At 39.5% G+C, this 19,957-nt stretch overlaps 1 protein-coding gene across 1 annotated transcript in view, besides 4 other annotated features; it reads right to left on the bottom strand.

Annotated features, from left to right (window-relative positions):
- Positions 1-19,957, bottom strand: part of SNX9 (sorting nexin 9) — a 121,832-nt gene that overhangs the window by 98,248 nt on the left and 3,627 nt on the right. The window lies entirely within an intron of this gene.
- Positions 485-574: an enhancer, noted in NCBI's record as "active region_25341". NCBI's record gives its function as "activates an Ori minimal core promoter by ATAC-STARR-seq in GM12878 lymphoblastoid cells {active_cell/tissue: GM12878}" and the evidence as "EXISTENCE:reporter gene assay evidence [ECO:0000049][PMID:35858748]".
- Positions 4,259-4,553: a silencer, noted in NCBI's record as "tiled region #12251; K562 Repressive DNase matched - State 5:Enh". NCBI's record gives its function as "represses a minimal TATA promoter and a strong SV40 promoter by Sharpr-MPRA in K562 cells {active_cell/tissue: K562}" and the evidence as "EXISTENCE:reporter gene assay evidence [ECO:0000049][PMID:27701403]".
- Positions 5,071-5,220: an enhancer, noted in NCBI's record as "active region_25340". NCBI's record gives its function as "activates an Ori minimal core promoter by ATAC-STARR-seq in GM12878 lymphoblastoid cells {active_cell/tissue: GM12878}" and the evidence as "EXISTENCE:reporter gene assay evidence [ECO:0000049][PMID:35858748]".
- Positions 16,000-16,738: an enhancer, noted in NCBI's record as "NANOG-H3K27ac hESC enhancer chr6:158251124-158251862 (GRCh37/hg19 assembly coordinates)". NCBI's record gives its function as "activates a minimal SCP1, AML or CMV promoter by ChIP-STARR-seq in naive H9 embryonic stem cells {active_cell/tissue: H9 hESC(naive)}" and the evidence as "EXISTENCE:reporter gene assay evidence [ECO:0000049][PMID:30033119]".

The following is a 19,957-nucleotide window of genomic DNA, read 5'->3' as shown; positions in this document are numbered from 1 at the left end:
AGTGATCCGCCTGCCTTGGCCTCCCAAAGTGCTGGGATTACAGGTGTGAGCCACCACACTCCGCCAAGAAGAACCTTTTCTTATGACTCAAGGTCACCATCATAACCATGAATTATTGTGTAAGGTGAAAGACACTGAATACTTATTTCCCAGCTCTCAGCTTTCACACATGAAAAATGACAGGGTCAGCCTAGATGATCTGCAAGTCTCTGGGCCTTTTTAAAGAATTTAAATACTTTATATCAAAGTATGTAAAGAACATTACTAAAGTGAAACATACTGATCTTTAAGCTACTCAAAATGATACTTCCCCTTAAGGTCATCGACATAAATACATATACAACTAGGTTACATGAGGAATATGGGTCTCTGCTTTAAGCCATACTTGGCCTGAGGCCAGTATTCTTAACTACGATTTATTTTTATCAGCAGTTCCTCTTCAGGGCAATTTCTTTTCTAGATTCACAGAGCTAACATAAACCTCACCACAGAACTACAGCTGGCTTTTAATGCAGCACAAATGTAGGCTTAAGGATATGGTAAAATAAGACTGCCAAAGAGAGTTAAGTTGGAAAAATAAAATAAAATTTGAAGAGCTAACTTAAAGTTTATTACATAAAAATGGAAGAATGAATCATACTTGGACAAAGGAAGAGATTTTGCCTAACAGCAGCTGACAGAGGGGAAAAGGTGACCAAGTGAGGGATGCATCAGATGCGAAGGCAGAGAAGCCGAAGACAATCTCATCAGGAGGGCCGTAAGAGACACCTGCACAGCAGGACGGGCGCCTCTCACCAGAATTTTGCCAGGATCCTTTGTGCCTTCCAGCTGATCCTTCTTGCAAATCAATAACACTGAAAGTGTTACAAAAGCACCTCTGATCATTTTGTAAATTATGATATGGCACTAGGATACTGATTTATTAAGGGAGTCAATCAAGTTATAAGAGTAAAGAACAAAACAATACCAAATTCAGCATCTACTATCAATTCTTTTCAAAGTCCAATATTCAGTTCACAAGAACCATACTCCAACCTAAGCAACCACAGGAACCAGCCATAAATCTCAAAACTATGACTAATGGGAGAGTATCACACAGCCTGTATGCTACACAATCAATTTACCAGATTCACCAATGCCGTCTATGCTTTGTATAAAATATGTGGCATGTTGAACTCCTGCATTTTGCAGGATACTCTCTAGTATACACAGGAAATTCTGACCCCACCATCTGAATCATATACTTACCATGAACCAGTTGTGATTACAGTAAGTTACTATAGCTATGCAACTGAATTATTACATAGCTAATGAAACATGAGTTCAAAAAAGAGTAATTGTTTCCAAGAAATGTAAGTAGATGGCTAAAAAGTTTACTGTCAAAATAAGTGTAAGTGAGACAACAGTTAAGACAAATGGGGCCGGGCACGGTGGCTCGCACCTGTAATCCCAGCACTTTGGGAGGCCAAGGCAGGCAGACCACCTGAGGTCAGGAGTTTGAGAACAGCATGGCCAACATGGTGAAACGCCGTCTCTACTAAAATACAAAAAAAATTAGCTGGGCATGGTAGCGGGTGCCTGTAAGCCCAGCTATTCGGAAAGCTGAGGCAGGAGAATCGCTTCTACCCAGGAGGTGGAGGTTGCAGTGAGCTGAGGTCATACCATTGCACTCCAGCCTGGGCGACAAGAGCGGAACTCCGTCTTAAAAAAAAAAAAAAAAAAAAGACAAATGGGAAAGGGCCAGGTGCGGTGGCTGAAGCCTGTAATCCTGAAATTGCCTTTGCAAAATTATGACTGAGACAATGAAGGAGATCTAACTTAATTGACTCCATCTTGCTTCTAACTTCCAAGCTGTCCTTGTTCACTCCTGGACGCAGGCTGAACGAACTTTGGGAATTTATAGTTTGAAACAAAGATGTTTAAAACAAGGACGACGGCCAGGCGCAGTGGCTCATGCCTGTAATCCCAGCACTTTGGGAGACCAAGGTGGGTAAATCATTTGAGGTCAGGAGTTCAAGACCAGCCTGACCAACACGGTGAAATGCTGTCTCTACTAAAAACACAAAAAATTAGCCGGGCGTGGTGGCGGGTGCCTATAGTCCCAGCTACTCAGGAGGCTGAGGCAGGAGAACCCCTTGACCTTGGGAGGTGCAGGCTGCAGTGAGCCGAGATTGCACCACTGCACTCCAGCCTGGGCAACAGAGTGAGACTCTGTCTCAAAAAAAAAAACAAAAAAAAAAAACAAGGATTAGCCACAAGATTAAAAATTATGATTTAGGAGTCATGTAGCTGGAGGCTACAAGATTCTGATCCTCTCTAAACTGCTCCTAAGATCAGTGCTTGAGATACTTTGCAGACTCTGCACTTGATGGATCAGCTGGCACCACCCCGATCAATAAACTGGGCATCTGATCTTGTGGCCCCCACCCAGGAACTGACTCAGTGCAAGACAGCTTTGACTCCCTGTGATTTCACCCCTGACCAATCAGCACTCCTGGCTCACTGGCTTCCCCCACCCACCAAATTGTCCTTAAAAACTCTATGGGTAGACTGATTTGAGTAATAATAAAACTCCGGTCTCCTGCACTGCATGAATTACTCTTTCTCTATTGCAATTCCGCTTGTCCTGAGAAATCGGCTCTAAGAAATTGGCAGGCAAAGTGAACCCATTGGGCGGTTACAATCCCAGCATTCTGGGAGGCTGAGGTGGGCAGACAGCTTGGGGCCAGGAGTTCGAGACCAGCCAGGCCAAAGTGGTGAAACCCTGTCTCTACTAAAAATACAAAAATTAGGCAGGTGAGGAGGTATGGGCCTGTAATCCCAGCTATGCAGGAGGCTAAGGCAGGAAAATTGCTTGAACCTGGGTGGTGGAGGTTACAGTGAGCCAAGATCATGCCACTGCACTCTGGCCTGGGTGGTAGAGTGAGACTCCATCTCAAAAAAAAAAAAAAAAAAAAGACAAATGGGAAATAATTTTTTAAAATCTAGAATTCTGTACTCACGATGCTTTGAAATTGTCTTCAAACTATTTAAGCTCTTCTAAAAGAAACAAAAAATTAGAATTGCAATGAATTGAGTATGGATTATGCAAAATGGATCACTTAGCACTGCAATCAGAAGTACACAAAGACCATAGCTGTCTGTCTATCAAAGGATTGGTGAGTAAATGCACATTATACATTTTAAGTTAAAATAAGATAATCAGTACAGTTAACCTTTGAACAACACAGGTCTGGTCCACTTTACATGCACCGTTTCTTCTATTTCTGCCACTCCACCCTCCTTTTCCTCCACCTACTCAATGTGAAGACAATGAGGATGAAGGCCTAATGCTCTACTTCCACTTAGTAGTAAATATATTTTCTCTTCCTTATGATTTTCTCAATAACATTTTCTTTAGCTTAATTTACTGTAAGAATACCGTATGTAATACATATAACATACAAAATATGTGTTAACTGTTTGCGTTATAAGGCTTCCAGTCAACAGCAGGCTATTAGTAGTTAAGTTTTGGGGGAGTCGAAAGTTATACTTTAATTTTCAACTGGGCAGGCGGTCGGTGCTCCTAACCCCCACATTGTTCAAGGGTCAGCTATATTTCTTTTTCAATTTTCATTTTCGTCAATTCTTCAACCCTTGTCCTAAGCATCCTCCCATTGCTGGCACCACCTAAGCTGTACAGAAAGGCTTAGAAGGCTTCATCTCCTTGAAACCACCTTTGCAAAATTATAATTGAGGAAATTATGACACTGAAAGAAATCAGACCTAACCAACTCTATCTTGCTTGTAACCTTTAAGCTGTCCTTGTTCATTCCTGAGCACAGGCCAGAACTAACTTTGGGAAAGAATTTGATCCATGGTTTGACTCTGAAACAAAATTGGTAACAGCCCTTTCCTGAAAAGACCCCCTTCTTGTCTGGGGTCCAGTCTGCCTTTGCAGGACTAACAAAATAACTACAAGAAATTACAATTTCGGGGTCATGTAGCCTCTGGCTCCAAGAGTCTGAACCTCCCCAAATTGCTCCTGGGGATAACATCACTATTGTAAAACCTAAGATCAGTGATTAAGATATTTGCAGACCCTGCACTTGATGGACTCAGACCAGTAACCTGGCCCAACCAGTTCTGCCATCCAACCCAGGAACAGAAGACATTAAGAAAACCTAACTTCAACCCCTTAAGATTCCATCTGCAACCTGACCAATCAGCACTCCCCACTTCCCAAGCCCCTACCCACCAAATTATCTTTAAAAACACCAAATTATCTTTAAAAACTCCAATCCCCAAATGCTCGGGGAGACTGACTAACAAACTCAGGTCTCCCGCACAGCCAGCTCTACGTGAATTACTCTTACTCCATTGCAATCCCCCTGTCTTGATAAATCGATTCTGTCTAGGCAGTGGTGATGGTGAACCCATTGGGCAGTTGCATCATGAGGATTTTGATAAGAGCACTGGAGTCAACAAGATAAAAGCAAGACATGCATATATTTTTTAACTGTTAGATTATGTTACCTGTATGGTCACATTACCTGTGGCAAATCTGTTTTACATTAACATGGGCAGACTCATACAAATGTCAACCAGTAAGAGATGGCACTGTTCTCACCTTAATACTATCAAGCAACTTAATAGATACAGCAAACTTAATTTATGAATATGTTTACACTGCCTACCAACAGACTGGATATTTGAAGATATTAAGAATGTATTCTGAATTTTTAAGTATAACAGGAATTACAGTTATTTAAGTCTACAGTTTTGGAGATATATATTAAAATACTTATCATGAAACGATGTCTGGAATTTGCTTCAAAATAATGAGGAAAGGGGAAAATAGGGGAGGGGAGGCTAGAGGAAACAAAACGGGCCAGGATCACTGTGGAGGTGGGTGATGAGTACACAGGGGAGTGTCACTGTGCTGTTCTACTTTTGTCCATGTTTAAAATTTTTATAAATAAAAAGTTAAAATAGAAAATATTGAATCATGCCAAACCATTGAGATGATAGTTTAAAAGTCACAGTGTAGTAAATTCTTATCATTTTATGTTGCCTCAGCATGCACTTTGAAGATAAGTGGGACCTTGTCGTAGCAGAAGCAGGGCTCTGTCACCCTGGACATGGCAGAGGGTGCAGTTCTACACCTCCTCCCAGTTCCTCAACATGACTAATACAGATACCTGCCTTAGACAACTTCCTCCTGGCAACCACCTCCCCATGGGAAAGCTACACACAGCCTACTTCACTGGCCCCGATCCCCACACCCCACATGGGCTGTGCAGTCACAGTGTGACCTCCTGGAACCAATTAAACCTCCCTGGGGGAAACCTGTTTGGACCCCATGAAGGCCCATGGGTCTCTAGGTAGGTCTCAATCTCTCTCTCTCCCTTCACAATTCCTGACCTTCAAGCTCCCTGACCATCCTGTGTGTGACCTCCAGGATTGCTGTGTACTCCCAGGGCCTGTAGGTAATAAAATCTGTATTTCTATCTTGTGCCTCTCCTAATCATTGGGGGATGCCCTTCATCTTGAAGACCCTAAATTAAAACACACAGATGTGGAATTTTTCAGCATGACTAATATGAAATTCCAGTGATCTAATTCATATTAAAAATAATCACTTAATGGAACCATGAAAGAATAAAGATTCATTGAATCTCCAAATTCTAAGCCAAGATGATGCCATTTCTTCTTAGCCCATAACAGCATTCTGCCCCAGTTCTCAGGGTTCCAGCTGCTTTCTTCTACTGCTGCTCTCAAGACTGCTGGGGCTTCAGGAAGTTTATACCAGACACCCTGCAAACAGTGACCCTCATCGGAAGAGAAATGCAGTGAGTCGCTGATCAGAAATGGTTTCATCAGTCAGAAATCCAGCAGTCTGCAAGTACTTTGCTTATGTCTATGTGGCCACCAGTCGAGTGAACAGCATAACGGTAACAGCCAAATGGTCTGATGAGCCGTTTGTATTCACTTTCAGTATATCCAGGAAACATAATCTGAAATTTTCTATCAGACAAAATCTCGAATGCAAAATAATAGAGGTTTTTAAAAATTTCTTTACAAAGTTTTTTCTCCCAGCTGATTTGACTGGGGTATTCCTCATATAGAGAAGGATACTGTGTCAATCCTTCTGAAGCTCTCTTACTGATTGACTTAAATGGAGCACAGGATTTTCCTAGTGTGGCTTTAATAAGATACAATCAATTAAGTTTTAAGAAGGGATAAAATAAGGCTTAAATCCAGTATCAAAGCAAACTGACTGTTAACTCCTGCAGTTAGCTTTGGGTAATAAAGGCAAGCTCAACTCTTTAAAAAAGAAAGAAGAAAGAAAGAGAAAGAAAGAGAGAGAGAGAGAGAAGGGAGAAGGAAGGAAGGAAGGAAAGGAAAGAAAGGAAAGAAAAGAAAGAAAAGAAAGAAAGAAAGTATTTTTTGTAAAAGTCAGTCATTTTGGGTGTGGTGAAAACCCTCCAATGGTTTTATTGCCAAATAAATGTCAAAGCCCCCGTGGTCGCCTGGGCCTCCTCAGCCTGGGGAGCAGCCCCTCTTCCCTGAGCTCCCTCAGCTCTGGCCTCACTGTGCAAGCACCAGCCTGAGGGTCTGCTCTTTCCCGAGATCCAAAGACACCCCAAGCACCAGCCTGAGGGTCTGCTCTTTCCCGAGATCCAAAGACACCCCAAGCACCAGCCTGAGGGTCTGCTCTTTCCCGAGATCCAAAGACACCCCAAGCACCAGCCTGAGGGTCTGCTCTTTCCCGAGATCCAAAGACACCCCCACCTTCCCTCAGATCTCTACCTGAGTGTCACCTTCCCAGTGAGGCTTTCTTGTTTTTTTTCACCTGCTTTCAGAACCCTAGTGAAACCATGAAACAACCGGAGAGGATAGGAGAATCCAAACAGCTATGTATCACATTAAGACAGAAAGGTCTGAGCTTTGCAGAGATTCACGCCCCAATACTGCGCACAACCAGCAAGGTGGTTACCATGTCCTCAAGCAGCACAGCAAGGAAGTGGTGGAGAGAGTTACTAAACTGAGGGGCAGGAGGAAAGGCCTAAAGAGGAGACTGGAGGGCAAGATGGGGTCACACCTTCAAGGCCATGGCACTAGGTTACCATCCCCACCCTCAAATTATGCTTCACCCTGGGCAAGAGGCGGTGGCCTGGGAACTAAAATATTATAGGTCTGCTTCCCCAGCAGGACGGGGATGTAATTTGTTGTAAATTATTACAGAAAAGCAAAATTATAATTTTTCCCCCACTTGGACTGTGCAATGGAATTCACACCTGAATCCATTCAATTATTTGTATTTTACAGATAAGGAAAGTGAAGCAGTAAGTAACTTTTCAAAGTAATGTATTAATAACTGGACTGGGATTTGAACCCAGGCTCCTAATCTCTATGCTATATCACCATTACATGAAAATACATATGCTTCATAATCAGGTAGAACTAATTTTATTCATTCATTGCATCTCTAATAAAAGACATAATTTCTCTTTTATTCTAAATATAAAATTCAAGAGAAACAAAACACTAATAGGGGAAATAGGCTTTTATGTAACAGCTATAATGAATCACAGAGGAATGCCAATGACCTCAACATTAATTCATTACATATATACATCCCCACACACATATAACAGTAATTATACACAAGGACAATTCATTGATACCTAACACCAAAAAGGTACTATGAAGTCCAGCGTTTTTAAGTAAACCTGTATTTTATTAACCGAATCTATATACATTTTAAAGAGTTAAAGATCCCCTGACAATTCACCAGCTGGGAATCCCTTCTCTAGAATAAGCTCTGGGTATTGCAAACCAGGTAAACAAAACACATCAAACAACAGCTTACCTGGAAATCAAAAGGAGCAGATCCATTTTAACCATTCCAAGACGCTATGTCCTCGGCCACAAAGGATTTAGAACAAGCCTGGGCACAGACTACTTGCCTCGAATGTTCACTGGTTCCTAAGAGTGGCTTAGTTTAACCAGTGCCAGATAAAATTTTAGAGTACAACCAGGGAAAGTGGACATTTACACTTCTCTAAAATGTACTTTCTGTCCTGCAAGGTCAGTCACTAAAATAGGAGCTCTTTAAATGAGACCTCAAACTAAACATGCCTTCAAGTATTTAACACCATTCCCTAAACTAGAGAAATGATCCTCTTCTACATCATGAGTAACATAATGTCAGAATATTTAGCACTTCTACATAAAATTTTCACACTATGGCTCTTTATTGATATACATTTATTTTTACTCTTAAGTTTCCAATGGCTAAATGGAGGGAAACAGGTCAGAGGGTCTCATTTCTGACTCCAAATACTGAGCTATCTCACTGTACACTATGTATACATACTTTTACCACAGCAACCGTACACCTAATGGAAGATATCTAAGTGTCTGTGTTCTCCATTAGACTGTAAATTCTCTGGATAGAAAAATATACATGCATTTTCACTTACAGTATAAATTCTAGAGAGAGACTGTTGAATAAAAAAAAAAAAAATTATTGGTCGAGCACAGTGGTTCATGCCTGTAACCCTAGCACTTTGGGAGGCTGAGGTGGGCAGACTGCTTGAGCCCAGGAGTTCAAGACCAGCCTGGGCAACATGGCAAAACACCATCTCTATAAAAAATACAAAAATTAGCCAGGCATGGTGATGCATGCCTGTAGTCCCAGCTACTTGGGAGGCTGAGGTGGAAAGATTGTTCGAGCCCGGGAAATTGGGGCTGCAGTGAGCTGCTACTGTACTCCAGCCTGGGCAACAGGGTGAGGTTCTGTCTCAAAAAAACAAACAAAATTTGATTTTTGGAAGCAATGTAGCATACTGAATATTTCTGTCAATATCCCTTGATGTTCATGCATAATAATATTCTAATGTTAACCACAGCCAACAATTACATGTATTCCTTCCATAATTAATGGTACAGCATATGCTGTTCACGGAACCCACAAGAAACTGAACAGTGCAGTTCAGTTGCCACCTTGTTTAAATGCCAACGACGGCTTCACGATCTGCTGCCCTTCTCTTATTTAGACACCCGTTACTTCTTACTGACTGCAGAGACAGGTCATATGAACACAGACAGCATGCCCATGCCTTCATGCATATGGGTCCTATAATAATACATGGGTGGATTTGATTATTCAGAGGTAGATTTACCTAGTTTGGGGACTACATTCTTTTTTCTAGCTTTGACAAACATTTGTTTCTTTACTTCCTTAAAGCTTCTAAGTGGGCAAACAGGAAAAATGAAGCCGCTGAAATTCAAATTCATCAAAATTAGGTATGGGTACTTACCACACAAATAACATTAAAAACTGGATTTACACAAAGGCATGTATTATCTGACTTATAAGTAATTTAAGAACAGGATTCTTCTCTCCTAGTGAATTAAAAGTTATTTTCATTATATAATCACGGTAGGAACATATTATACAATGCAAATAAATCTGGACTGATTACTGTTTTAATAACACACAAAACTGTATCGCATGTTTTCTGGCTAACTTAAAAGGCAATAGGAAGAGTAGTAACCAGCCTCCATGGTAATGTGAGATTGTAACAGTGTTGAGACATTTTGCATATAATACCAACGATCAATCAAAAGAACTGAAAAGTTACTGACAACACTACAAGTTGGCGAGAAACTAAATAGCTTCTGAGAATATTTTACGGATCTGTGATTTTCTGCATCATATGAACCCAGTTAGATAAAATAATCCTTTAAGCAAGACACAAGTGTTCACTGCACACGGCATGCTAGTGCAGCCACCCAATTTACGGCCTCACAGATCTTAGGGACCAACCAAGGACAGAACCCAAGTTCTTTCTTTTATTTTTCCATCCCTCACAATAGTGGTTCTGGAAGTTAGGTCCCTAGACCAGCAGCATCAGCATCACCTGGGAACTGGTAGAAATGTGTGTTCTCGGCCGGGCGCGGTGGCTCACGCCTGTAATCCCAGCACTTTGGGAGGACAAGGTGGGCGGATCACGAGGTCAGGAGATCGAGACCATCCGGGCTAACATGGTGAAACCCCGTCTCTACTAAAAATACAAAAAAATTAGCCAGGCATGGTAGTGGGTGCCTGTAGTCCCAGCTACTTGGGAGGCTGAGGCAGGAAAATGGCGTGAACCTGGGAGGCGGAGTTTGCAGTGAGCTGAGATCGCGCCACTGCACTCCAGCCTGGGCGAGAGTAAGACTCTGTATCAAAAAAAAAAAAAGAAAGAAAAGAAATGTGTGTTCTCAGCCCCACCCCAGACCTCCTGAATCAGAAACTCTGTGTGATTTAACAAGCTCCCCGGGTTGGTGACTGTGATACAGCTAGTTAGAGTACCACAGCTCTACCATTAATTCCTAATCCTTAGGAAATATCATCACTTTAGCAAGAGTTCAATTTCTCTCTCAGATGGAAGCTTATTACCATTGCCATATCTTTCTGTATAGAAGAGAGTCCTAATGAATCAGAGAAGAGGGGAGTTTGAGAAAAAAATTTAATACTTGTAGCATTTTAGAGAATCACTATCTATCACTTTCATAATGAAAACTCCAGAACGTGCACAAGATGTTTCCACTTATCAAAAAGGGTAATGGCTATAATCCCAGCACTTTGGGAGGCTGAGGCAGGAGGAATGTTTGAGCCCAGAAGTTCAAGATCAGCCTGGGCACATAGAGAGACCCTGTCTCTACAAACAAACAAACAAACAAACAAAAAATTAAATATTAGCTGGCTCTGGTGGCATGTGCCTGTAGTCCCAGCTACTTGGGAGGCTGAGGCAGAAGGATTGCTTGTGCCTGGGAGGTCGAGGCTGCTGCTGTGAGCCCAGATCACGCCACGGCACTCCACCCTGAGCAACAGAGTGAGACCCTTCTCAACCAAAATAAAAAATAAATGGCTAGGCATGGTGGTGTATGCCTGTGGTCCCAGACTGTATTAGTCTGTTTTCACACGGCTATAAAGAACTGCCCAAGACTGGGTAATTTATACAGGAAAGAGGTTTAATTGACTCACAGTTCAGCATGGCTAGGGAGGCCTCATGAACCACGATGGAAAGTGAAGGGGAAGCAAGGCACCTTCTTCACAAGGTGGCAGGAAGGAGAAGTACTGAGTGAAGGTGGAAGAACCCCTTATAAAACCATCAGCTCAGTCAGCATGGGGGAAATCGACCCCGTGATTCAATTACCTCCACCTGGTCCCTCCTGTGACACTTGGAGATTACAGCGATTACAATTCAAGATGAGATTTGGGTGGGGACACGAAGCCTAACCATATCACAGATACTCAAGAGGATGAGGCAGGAGGATTGCTTCAGTGTGGGAGTTCAAGGCTTCAATGAGCCATGTTTGCACCACTGGACTCCAGCCTGGGCAACAGAGCAAGACTCTATTTAAAAAAAAAAAAAAAAAAAGAAGGGGAATGGGTTTTTAAAGGCTGAAAACTTTGCTTTTGGTCATTATATAGTAATTGAACTCTAATAGAAGTAAATATTAGAATATTTTAAAAATCTTGGCTGGGCATGGTGACTCACGCCTGTAATCCCAGCACTTTGAGGGGCCGAGGCAGGTGGATCACTTGGTGTCAGGAGTTTGAAACTGGGCTGGCCAATATGGTGAAACCCCATCTCCACTAAAAATACAGAAATTAGCTGAGCGTGGTGGCACACATCTGTAATCCCAGTTGCCTGGGAGGCTGAGGCAGGAGAACTGCTTGAACCCAGGAGGTGGAGGTTGCAGTGAGCTGAGATCATGCCACTGCACTCCAGCCTGGGTGACAAAGTAAGACTCTGTCTCAAAAATAAAATTAAATTTAAAATGTCTATACTTTTTGGTATCATCTTGGCTTTAGATGATTCAGACAGCTCAACCTATTGTAACCACAGATCTCAGTAACCTAACGGGTATTGATTTCCTAGGGTTTTGGAGCTTTTAGGGGTTGCAAGGACATTGAATACGCTTTACATACTGTTGGAATTGCATCAGACTAATCTGGTTCAACTTTTATGTAACAAAGTTATGAGCTGCTTTTCAGTTGGCATGGACCTCCAGGTTGAACGTCACATCACCAGAGCATGCCCAAAACTAAGTGTGCAGCCATGGATAGAACCCACGTGCTCAGATGGGCACTTGGAATGGAATGGGCATGAGGAATGAGCACTGAATTAAGAAGTGGACACTAACAGTTTGGGAGGCTGTAATCACAATTCTTTGGGAGGCTGACACAGGAGGATCGTTTGAGCCTAGGAGTTTGAGACCAACCTGGGGAACATGGCGAGACCTCAATTCTACTAAAGAAAAAAAAATTTAAAAAATTGGCCGGGGGGGTGGCACACAGCTGTAGTCCAAGCTACTTGTGAGGCTGAGGTGGGAGAATCACTTAAGCCCAGGAGTTCAAGGCTGCAGTGAGTTATTATCATGCCACTGCACTCCAGCCTGAGGAACAGACTGAGACCCCGTCTCTACAAAAAAAAAAAAAAATTCTTTTAAATTAGCCAGGTGTGCTGGCACGCACTTTGTGGTGTCAGCTTACTCAGGATGTTGAGGTGAGAGGATCGCTGGAGCCCAGGAGGTTGAGCTGCAGTCAGTGGAGGTTGCACCACTGCACTTCAGCCTGGGCAACAGAAGAGAGACCCTGACTCAAAAAAAAAAAAAAAAAAAAAAAAAAAAAAAAAAACCACAGTGGACACCACATGGCAGGATCCAAAATCCGATCAGATCAAGCCCTGGTGTCACCCCATGGCAGGATCCAGTCAGATTATGCCTCCAGCATCACCCCACTGCAAGATCCAATCAGATCACGCCTCATTACCTCTAAGTACAAAACCTGACGTAGCCCCCAGCGTGGAGAGACAGACTTAAGTCCAACTCCTGTCTCCTTGCTCAGCTGTCTGGCAATAAGCCTCTCTCACTACAAAAACCTGGTGCTTCAGTGTTTGGCTTTCCACTACATGGGCAAATGGACCCAGTTCAGTTCGGCAATACTGGTAGATAGTCACGGGACAAAGTAAATCTGATGCATCAACAAAACAACTGTAAAATCATATTATTCAACTCTTGACTCTAAAATCTGAGTCATGGTTTAGGAAGGCGGGAGGAGAAGTGCAGTGCTGGAAACCCTGCCTAACCACAAAGAATTAACCACCCTGCCTCTTCTAAGCTCCTGAGGGAGAAGGCACATGGTGGCAGGTAAAATTACCAATGTATTTATGAAACAGCAATTTGTAACACCTTCAGATTCAGTGCTAGTTGTTCAGTAAGTTTTCAGTTATGTTTTAAAGCTACTTTTAAAACATACTCTTTTTTTCCCCTGGAAGAAGAAAATTTCCTTAAGTACCATACTTAAGAAAATTACAAAATAATATTTGTAATCCTGAATGCATTAGCATTCTTCTATTGAAGTGCCCTTACTATGTGTAAGCATTAAAAAATTTTTCCAACCTAGTACAATTTGAAACAAATTAACAGAAGGTATATAAGTTTGGGAATCTGCTTTAGAGGCCTAAAGACAGTAAGTTTTTAATTAAAAAAAAATCTTTTTTTTCCTTGTTACAAAAGCAGCAAATATTCATTACTTAAAATCTTGAGACTATAAAACAAACTAAAACATAAAAAAACTTCTTATGTGCAGCCACTATGCAATAGGCAACTATTTATACATACGTCTAAATTTTCAAGCCTTTTTCTGTGAATTTAAATTAGGAAATACATTTAAACTCGCACATTTTAAATACACCAATTCATTAATATCTGAATGTCAACTGTCCTAGGGAGGATCCAAATCTTTATTCCCAGCATCCAAGTGGCACAAAATAGCTACTGAAATGTCTGCTGAACTGAATATCTGGGATCTGACAAGGCAAAGTCTGGACTTGCAGACTGTGGAGCTGTACTATGGAAGTATTTTTGAAGCAACTGAAGTGATAGAGTAAGGTTTAAAACTCACTCAAAGTACTAAGTAACAGACTGATATGGTTTGGCTGTGTCTCCCCAGATCTCATCTTGAATTGTAGTTCCCATAATCCCCACATGTTGTGGGAGGCACCTGGTGGGGGTAATTGAATCATGGGGGCAGTTACCCCCATGCTGTTCTCATGAATTCTCACAAGATCTGATGGTTTTATAAGGGTTTTCCCCCTTTTGCTCGGCACTTCTTCCTGCTGCCATGTGAAGAAGGACATGTTTGCTTCCCCTTCCACCATGGATTTGTAAGCTTCCTGAGGCCTCTCCAGCCCTTTGGAACTGTGAGTCATTTAAATCTCTTTTCTTTATAAATTACCTAGCCTCGGGTATTTCTTCATAGCAGCATGAGAACAGACTAATACACAGACATTTCAAGACTTGGGTCCTTTGAAAGCCTCTGGGCTTGAGGAACTGTGCCAGGAGCCTGCACTGTGCCCCTGCAGACAGCCTGCCCTCCTTCAAGACATTGTGCCCTTTGAGTACAAGGACAGGCCTTTCATACTGACATCCCAGAGGACCTGGCACATCTGAAGTTCAAATGAATGAGTTGTGGATGACAACGGGTGATAGGCAACAGAATGAAGCTGCATTTCCCCCTCTTTAATTTATCCCTAAAGTTAAGTGTCTGACTTAATGAACAATCACAAATCTGTGACTTCTGAGTACTGTCCCTGTGGGTAATAATACCATATGACTCGATTTTCAGATACTACAAATAACTTAGAAAAATTCAGTCAGACTGAATAGCATCCTTAAACACTGCATTTACAATGCCTAGAAATTAGTAAGTAGTCTATCATGTGCTTTTAATAGTCAAAAGAAAAATGACAAAGAAATATCAATTGGAAAGTTTTGAAATGCCCACAGTTTGACAGCTTGACTGAAGGTTTGGTTTCAACCAAAATGCTTAACAACTTTTTGACCTTTCCCTCTGCAAAGATCAGATTAACACTTTCATGCACATATTCCACTCCCTTCACTTGACAGTCTGCTATAAAGATGCTCTGACTTGGATTTTGTTCCAGCAACTAGAGCAAGCTAATACCTGAGCCACTGCCAGACTGAAACAACTGAAGTGCTGAATAAAATATTAAAAGCAAAAGATACAAACTAAACACCTTTTGAAACACACTGCTGAGTTAGCACAAAAGGAAAGGCTCCGGAGAGGCCACAAAGGAAGTGAAAGCAGAAACCCTGGGAGAACACATGTGCTGAGGCAGGATTTCCCGCTGGGAGACTCCACAAACCTGGGAGCCTGGCTCTGTGCTCTGGGGACTGTGTGGGGGCAGGGGAGGCAACACACAAAGTGTCCTGTATTAAGCTACAAGCTGGGACTCCAAAAGGACCTCAGCATAAGGGTAAAGAGGAAAACCTGTGTGCAAGGAAATGTCTCATCATTGATACAGAGTAGTGGGGATGAGGAAAATTTCTCCTGAGATGCCAGGTCCATATTTATTCTACCCAGTATGGCTGAGAAAACATTAAGCCAGGAATTAAAGATATAGTGACTCCAAGGATGTAATGTCCCCAGGAGACTGGTATCAGCACACACAAATCCTCCCTGGAAGGATACAACCTCAATCTAGGTAATAGGATTCCCACAGAGGAAGTTCCAAGGAAAACAAGCAACTCAAGGAAAAATCAAATCAAATCACAAAACACACAAGAAAACAAAGCACCATGAGTGAGAATGTGCAGAAACGGATGGCTGAATCAGACTTCTGAGATTAGGACGGAAAACTATTAATGTTTTGACATGCTTAAGAGAAGCTTAAAAATATGAGCAAAGAACCAGAAACTATAATGAATGATAAGCAGATTTGAAATAGAACCAAATACAATTTCTAAAAATAGAAGATAACCGAAACTGAAAATTAAATGGATGAATAAAAGAGCAGATTTGGCCTGACTGAGGAAAGAATAGTGAACAGAAGGTAAGAACAAATGAAATCATCCAGAATGTAGCACAAAGAAAACATGACAGGTTGACAGATGGGAAGTTAGATTTCCATCGGTCCTTTTCATGTTACTAGAGTTCCAGAAAGAAAGAATGGAGAAAAGGCAATTTTCATGAATAACCGCTGAGAATTTTCTAGAGCTGCACTCACCTATAAAGTAGCCATTAGCCACATGTGGCTACTGAAATTAAAATTTAAACACAGTTCCTCAGTCACACTAACCACATTTCAAGTTCTTGTTAGCCACAAGAGGCAGGCAGTTACCATATGGACGGCACAGATGTAGAACATCATCACAAAGAGTACACTGAACAGCACTGTTCTAGAACTAACGTAGCACCTGTCCTCAGATCCAAGATACCCAGGAAACCCAAGCTGTGCAACTAAAATCCACACATGGACACACTACAGTCAAACTGCAAAATACTAAAACTGAGAAAGTTAAAAACAGCCAGTGAGGAGTCACACCACGGACAAAGGAACAATAATTAGCTAACTGGCTTCCCAGCAGCAAATGTCAAAGCCAGTAGAAAACAAAGGAAGAATACCTTCATTGTACTAGGAGAAAATGCTGTCAACCTAGAACTCTTTCAAGACCAGGGTAATTTTCATACCTAAGAGACATATAAGAGATTTACCAACAACATACCTTCTCAATGGAAATTCCAATTCATTTTAGATGGAAGGGAAATTATCTCAAGAAAAGACTGAAATGTAAGAAGAAACAGTAAGCAAAGACACAGTACAATATGATTAGATCTAAAACATTTAACTGTATAAAAATAATGTTCAATTTGTGGTGAAAAAGATATAACTAAAATACTGGGCAATAATTGATCATATTGGGGGAGATGACTGGAGTTAAATAACCTTATGTCTTTTTGTAATTCAGGAAAAGGCTAATGATATTAAGTAATTTCAGACTTTAATGTTAACATCCTTATGATAACCACTGGAAAAAAGAGACTTATAACACAAACCTTCCACAAAGTTGGGAGTGGGCTCCTACAATCTATAAGATGGTAGACAGAAATCCAAATATATCAGTAAACACAATGCTGTACAGGCAGGCACCAAGATCAGACTGGATAAAAAGGTAAAATTCAGCTATTGGCTTTTATATATCTGGGAAATATTTACCAAAAGCTAGTGAAATCACATTAACATTAGAAATATAGTCTTTAAGAAAAAATGCATTACCAGAGGTAAAGAGGTTCACTTCATAATGATAAAAACTTCAATTCACCTAGAAAATAATACTAATTGTAAATGTAGAGAAAATTTTTAAATTCACCATTTTAGCATCACCATCAAGTAGACAGAGGATCAGTTAGATACAACAGATCAAATAGAGGAACACAATTAGTAAGGATATACATATAAACAGCACAGTAAGTCTAGTGGACATAGAGCATACAGAATAGACACACACATCAATAATATGTATACTCTTTTTGTGCACAGGTGAAACATAAAAGCTGACTGTATGCTGGGAATAAAGTTAGCCTCAACAAATTTCCAGGTACAGTATTGATTTTAATTAGGCTCCCTGATCACAATGCAATCAAGTTAGAAATCACCAACAAGAAAGAGAAAAACCCAATACATTTGGAAATTAAAGACAATTCTGACAACTTGTAGGTTAAAGACAACTCTTTAAAGTCTCAGAAATATGAAGCTTGTTCCAACTACCTTAAAACATCAGGCAATTTCTCATGTAATCATTAGTAAAATTGATTATGTTTTAAAAAATATAATTGCCAATACCTAAGCTGCAGATGTAAATTTTGTGTTGTACCTGTATACACTTTTAACAAATACACTAAAACACATGATTAAAAGAACAAAAGCTTACAGCTGGGGATTAATAGTTTTCTACTTCAATAATCGAGTCACTTATCTCACTAGAATATATTTTTGCTCTTTTAAACTTGTCATTGAAGATACAAAAGTGATCACAAACAGTCTCAGCTTCTTGAGGCTGACAGCATTCAAAGGAGCCAGCCATCAGTTATAGAAACAAATATAAAATGGCAGTCGGGGTGTGTAATGTGACCCTGAAACAGGGGCGGGGACATCAGGAAAGGCTTTCCCGGGGAAGTGATGCTTAGACGCATTAAGACCTAATATGTGGCCAGGCGTAGTGTCTCAAACCTGTAATCCCAATACTTTGCGGGGCTGAGGAGGAAGGATCACCTCAGTTCAGGACACATGGTGAAACCCCATCTCTACAAAAAATACAAAAAGTAGCTGGGCATGGTGGTGCACACCTGTAGTCCCAGCTACTTGGGAGACTGAGGTGGAAGGATCACCTGAGCCAGGGAAGTCGAGACTGCCGTGAGCTGTGTTCGTGCCACTGCACTCCAGCCTGGATGACAAAGTGAGACCCTGTCTCCAAAAAAAAAATAATAATAATCATAATCATAAAAACTTAACATCTAAAAACAAAGTACCTAGGGAAGGACAAGGGAGAACAGCATTCCAGAAAAGAAACAGCAGTACTGCAAAGCTACAAAGTTTTAAGTGGACAATTAAAGTAAAACTATAATTTAATTTTCAGATGGTCAATATAAAAACAAGGCACAGTAGAAAAACTGCAACATTTTTATGCTTTCTAATCTATTCCTTCTTTAATGAGACTTGTTCATCTTTCTACTGTCACAGAACTTATCTTTGACTATACAAATACTGCACACTCTACTTAAGACACATAGAAAATACTACTGTTATACAAAGTTAAATGGTTAGCATTTTCCAAACATTTTAAAAGCCATAAAAATCAACTTTAATCCTTAAGACCTGTTAGAAAGATATTTCTATTCTAGTCGTCAAATAAAGAAGTTTCTGCTCTGGAGGGGCTACAAAGTATGCCTTCTGAATTGTTCTCACTAATCTATGCATGGAATAAACAAGTCTTAAGTAATTCATTTATTCCCTACCATTATTTTTAACATTCCATACCCACTTAATTTAACCAGACAAGCTGTGTAACACATGTGTATAACTTTAGGTATTGGAACCGAAGAGTTAAAAAAAAAAAAAAAGCATCAGGAACTCCTAGAATCTTGTTATAGTTAGCCTAAAGGTGACTATGTAAGCACAAAAGGATCCAAATTAGTGACTGAAGGTTAACTTTGACGTAGAAATTACAGCTAAATTATATAGATATGGATTAACCTCCACTAACAATTTTCTTCATGTCCCCTTTGACAGACACTGAAAAAAAATTCTTCATTTCTTTTCCAGAACTTGATCTTTTAAATAAAACAGGATGACTGACAATGTATTATATATTTATATATCTCATATATATATAAACTATAATATAATATATATTTATATATTATATAAACTATAATATAATATATGTTTATATATTATATAAACTATATGTTTATATATTATATAAACTATAAGTTTATATATTATATAAACTATAAGTTTATATATTATATAAACTATAATATATGTTTATATATTATATAAACTATAATATATGTTTATATATTATATAAACTATAATATATGTTTATATATTATATAAACTATAATATATGTTTATATATTATATAAACTATAATATATGTTTATATATTATATAAACTATAATATATGTTTATATATTATATAAACTATAATATATGTTTATATATTATATAAACTATAATATATGTTTATATATTATATAAACTATAATATATGTTTATATATTATATAAACTATAATATATGTTTATATATTATATAAACTATAATATATATGTATATATTATATAAACTATAATATATATGTATATATTATATAAACTATAATATATGTTTATATATTATATAAACTATAATATATGTTTATATATTATATAAACTATAATATATATGTATATATTATATAAACTATAATATATATGTATATATTATATAAACTATAATATATATGTATATATTATATAAACTATAATATATTTTATATATTATATAAACTATAATATATTTTATATATTATATAAACTATAATATATATTTATATATTATATA

This window comes from Homo sapiens, chromosome 6 (genome assembly GCF_000001405.40).
Source record: "Homo sapiens chromosome 6, GRCh38.p14 Primary Assembly".
Lineage (NCBI taxonomy): Eukaryota > Metazoa > Chordata > Mammalia > Primates > Hominidae > Homo > Homo sapiens.
The sequence above is the reverse complement of the archived record's forward strand: the minus strand, read 5'-3'. Positions and strand labels throughout refer to the sequence as shown.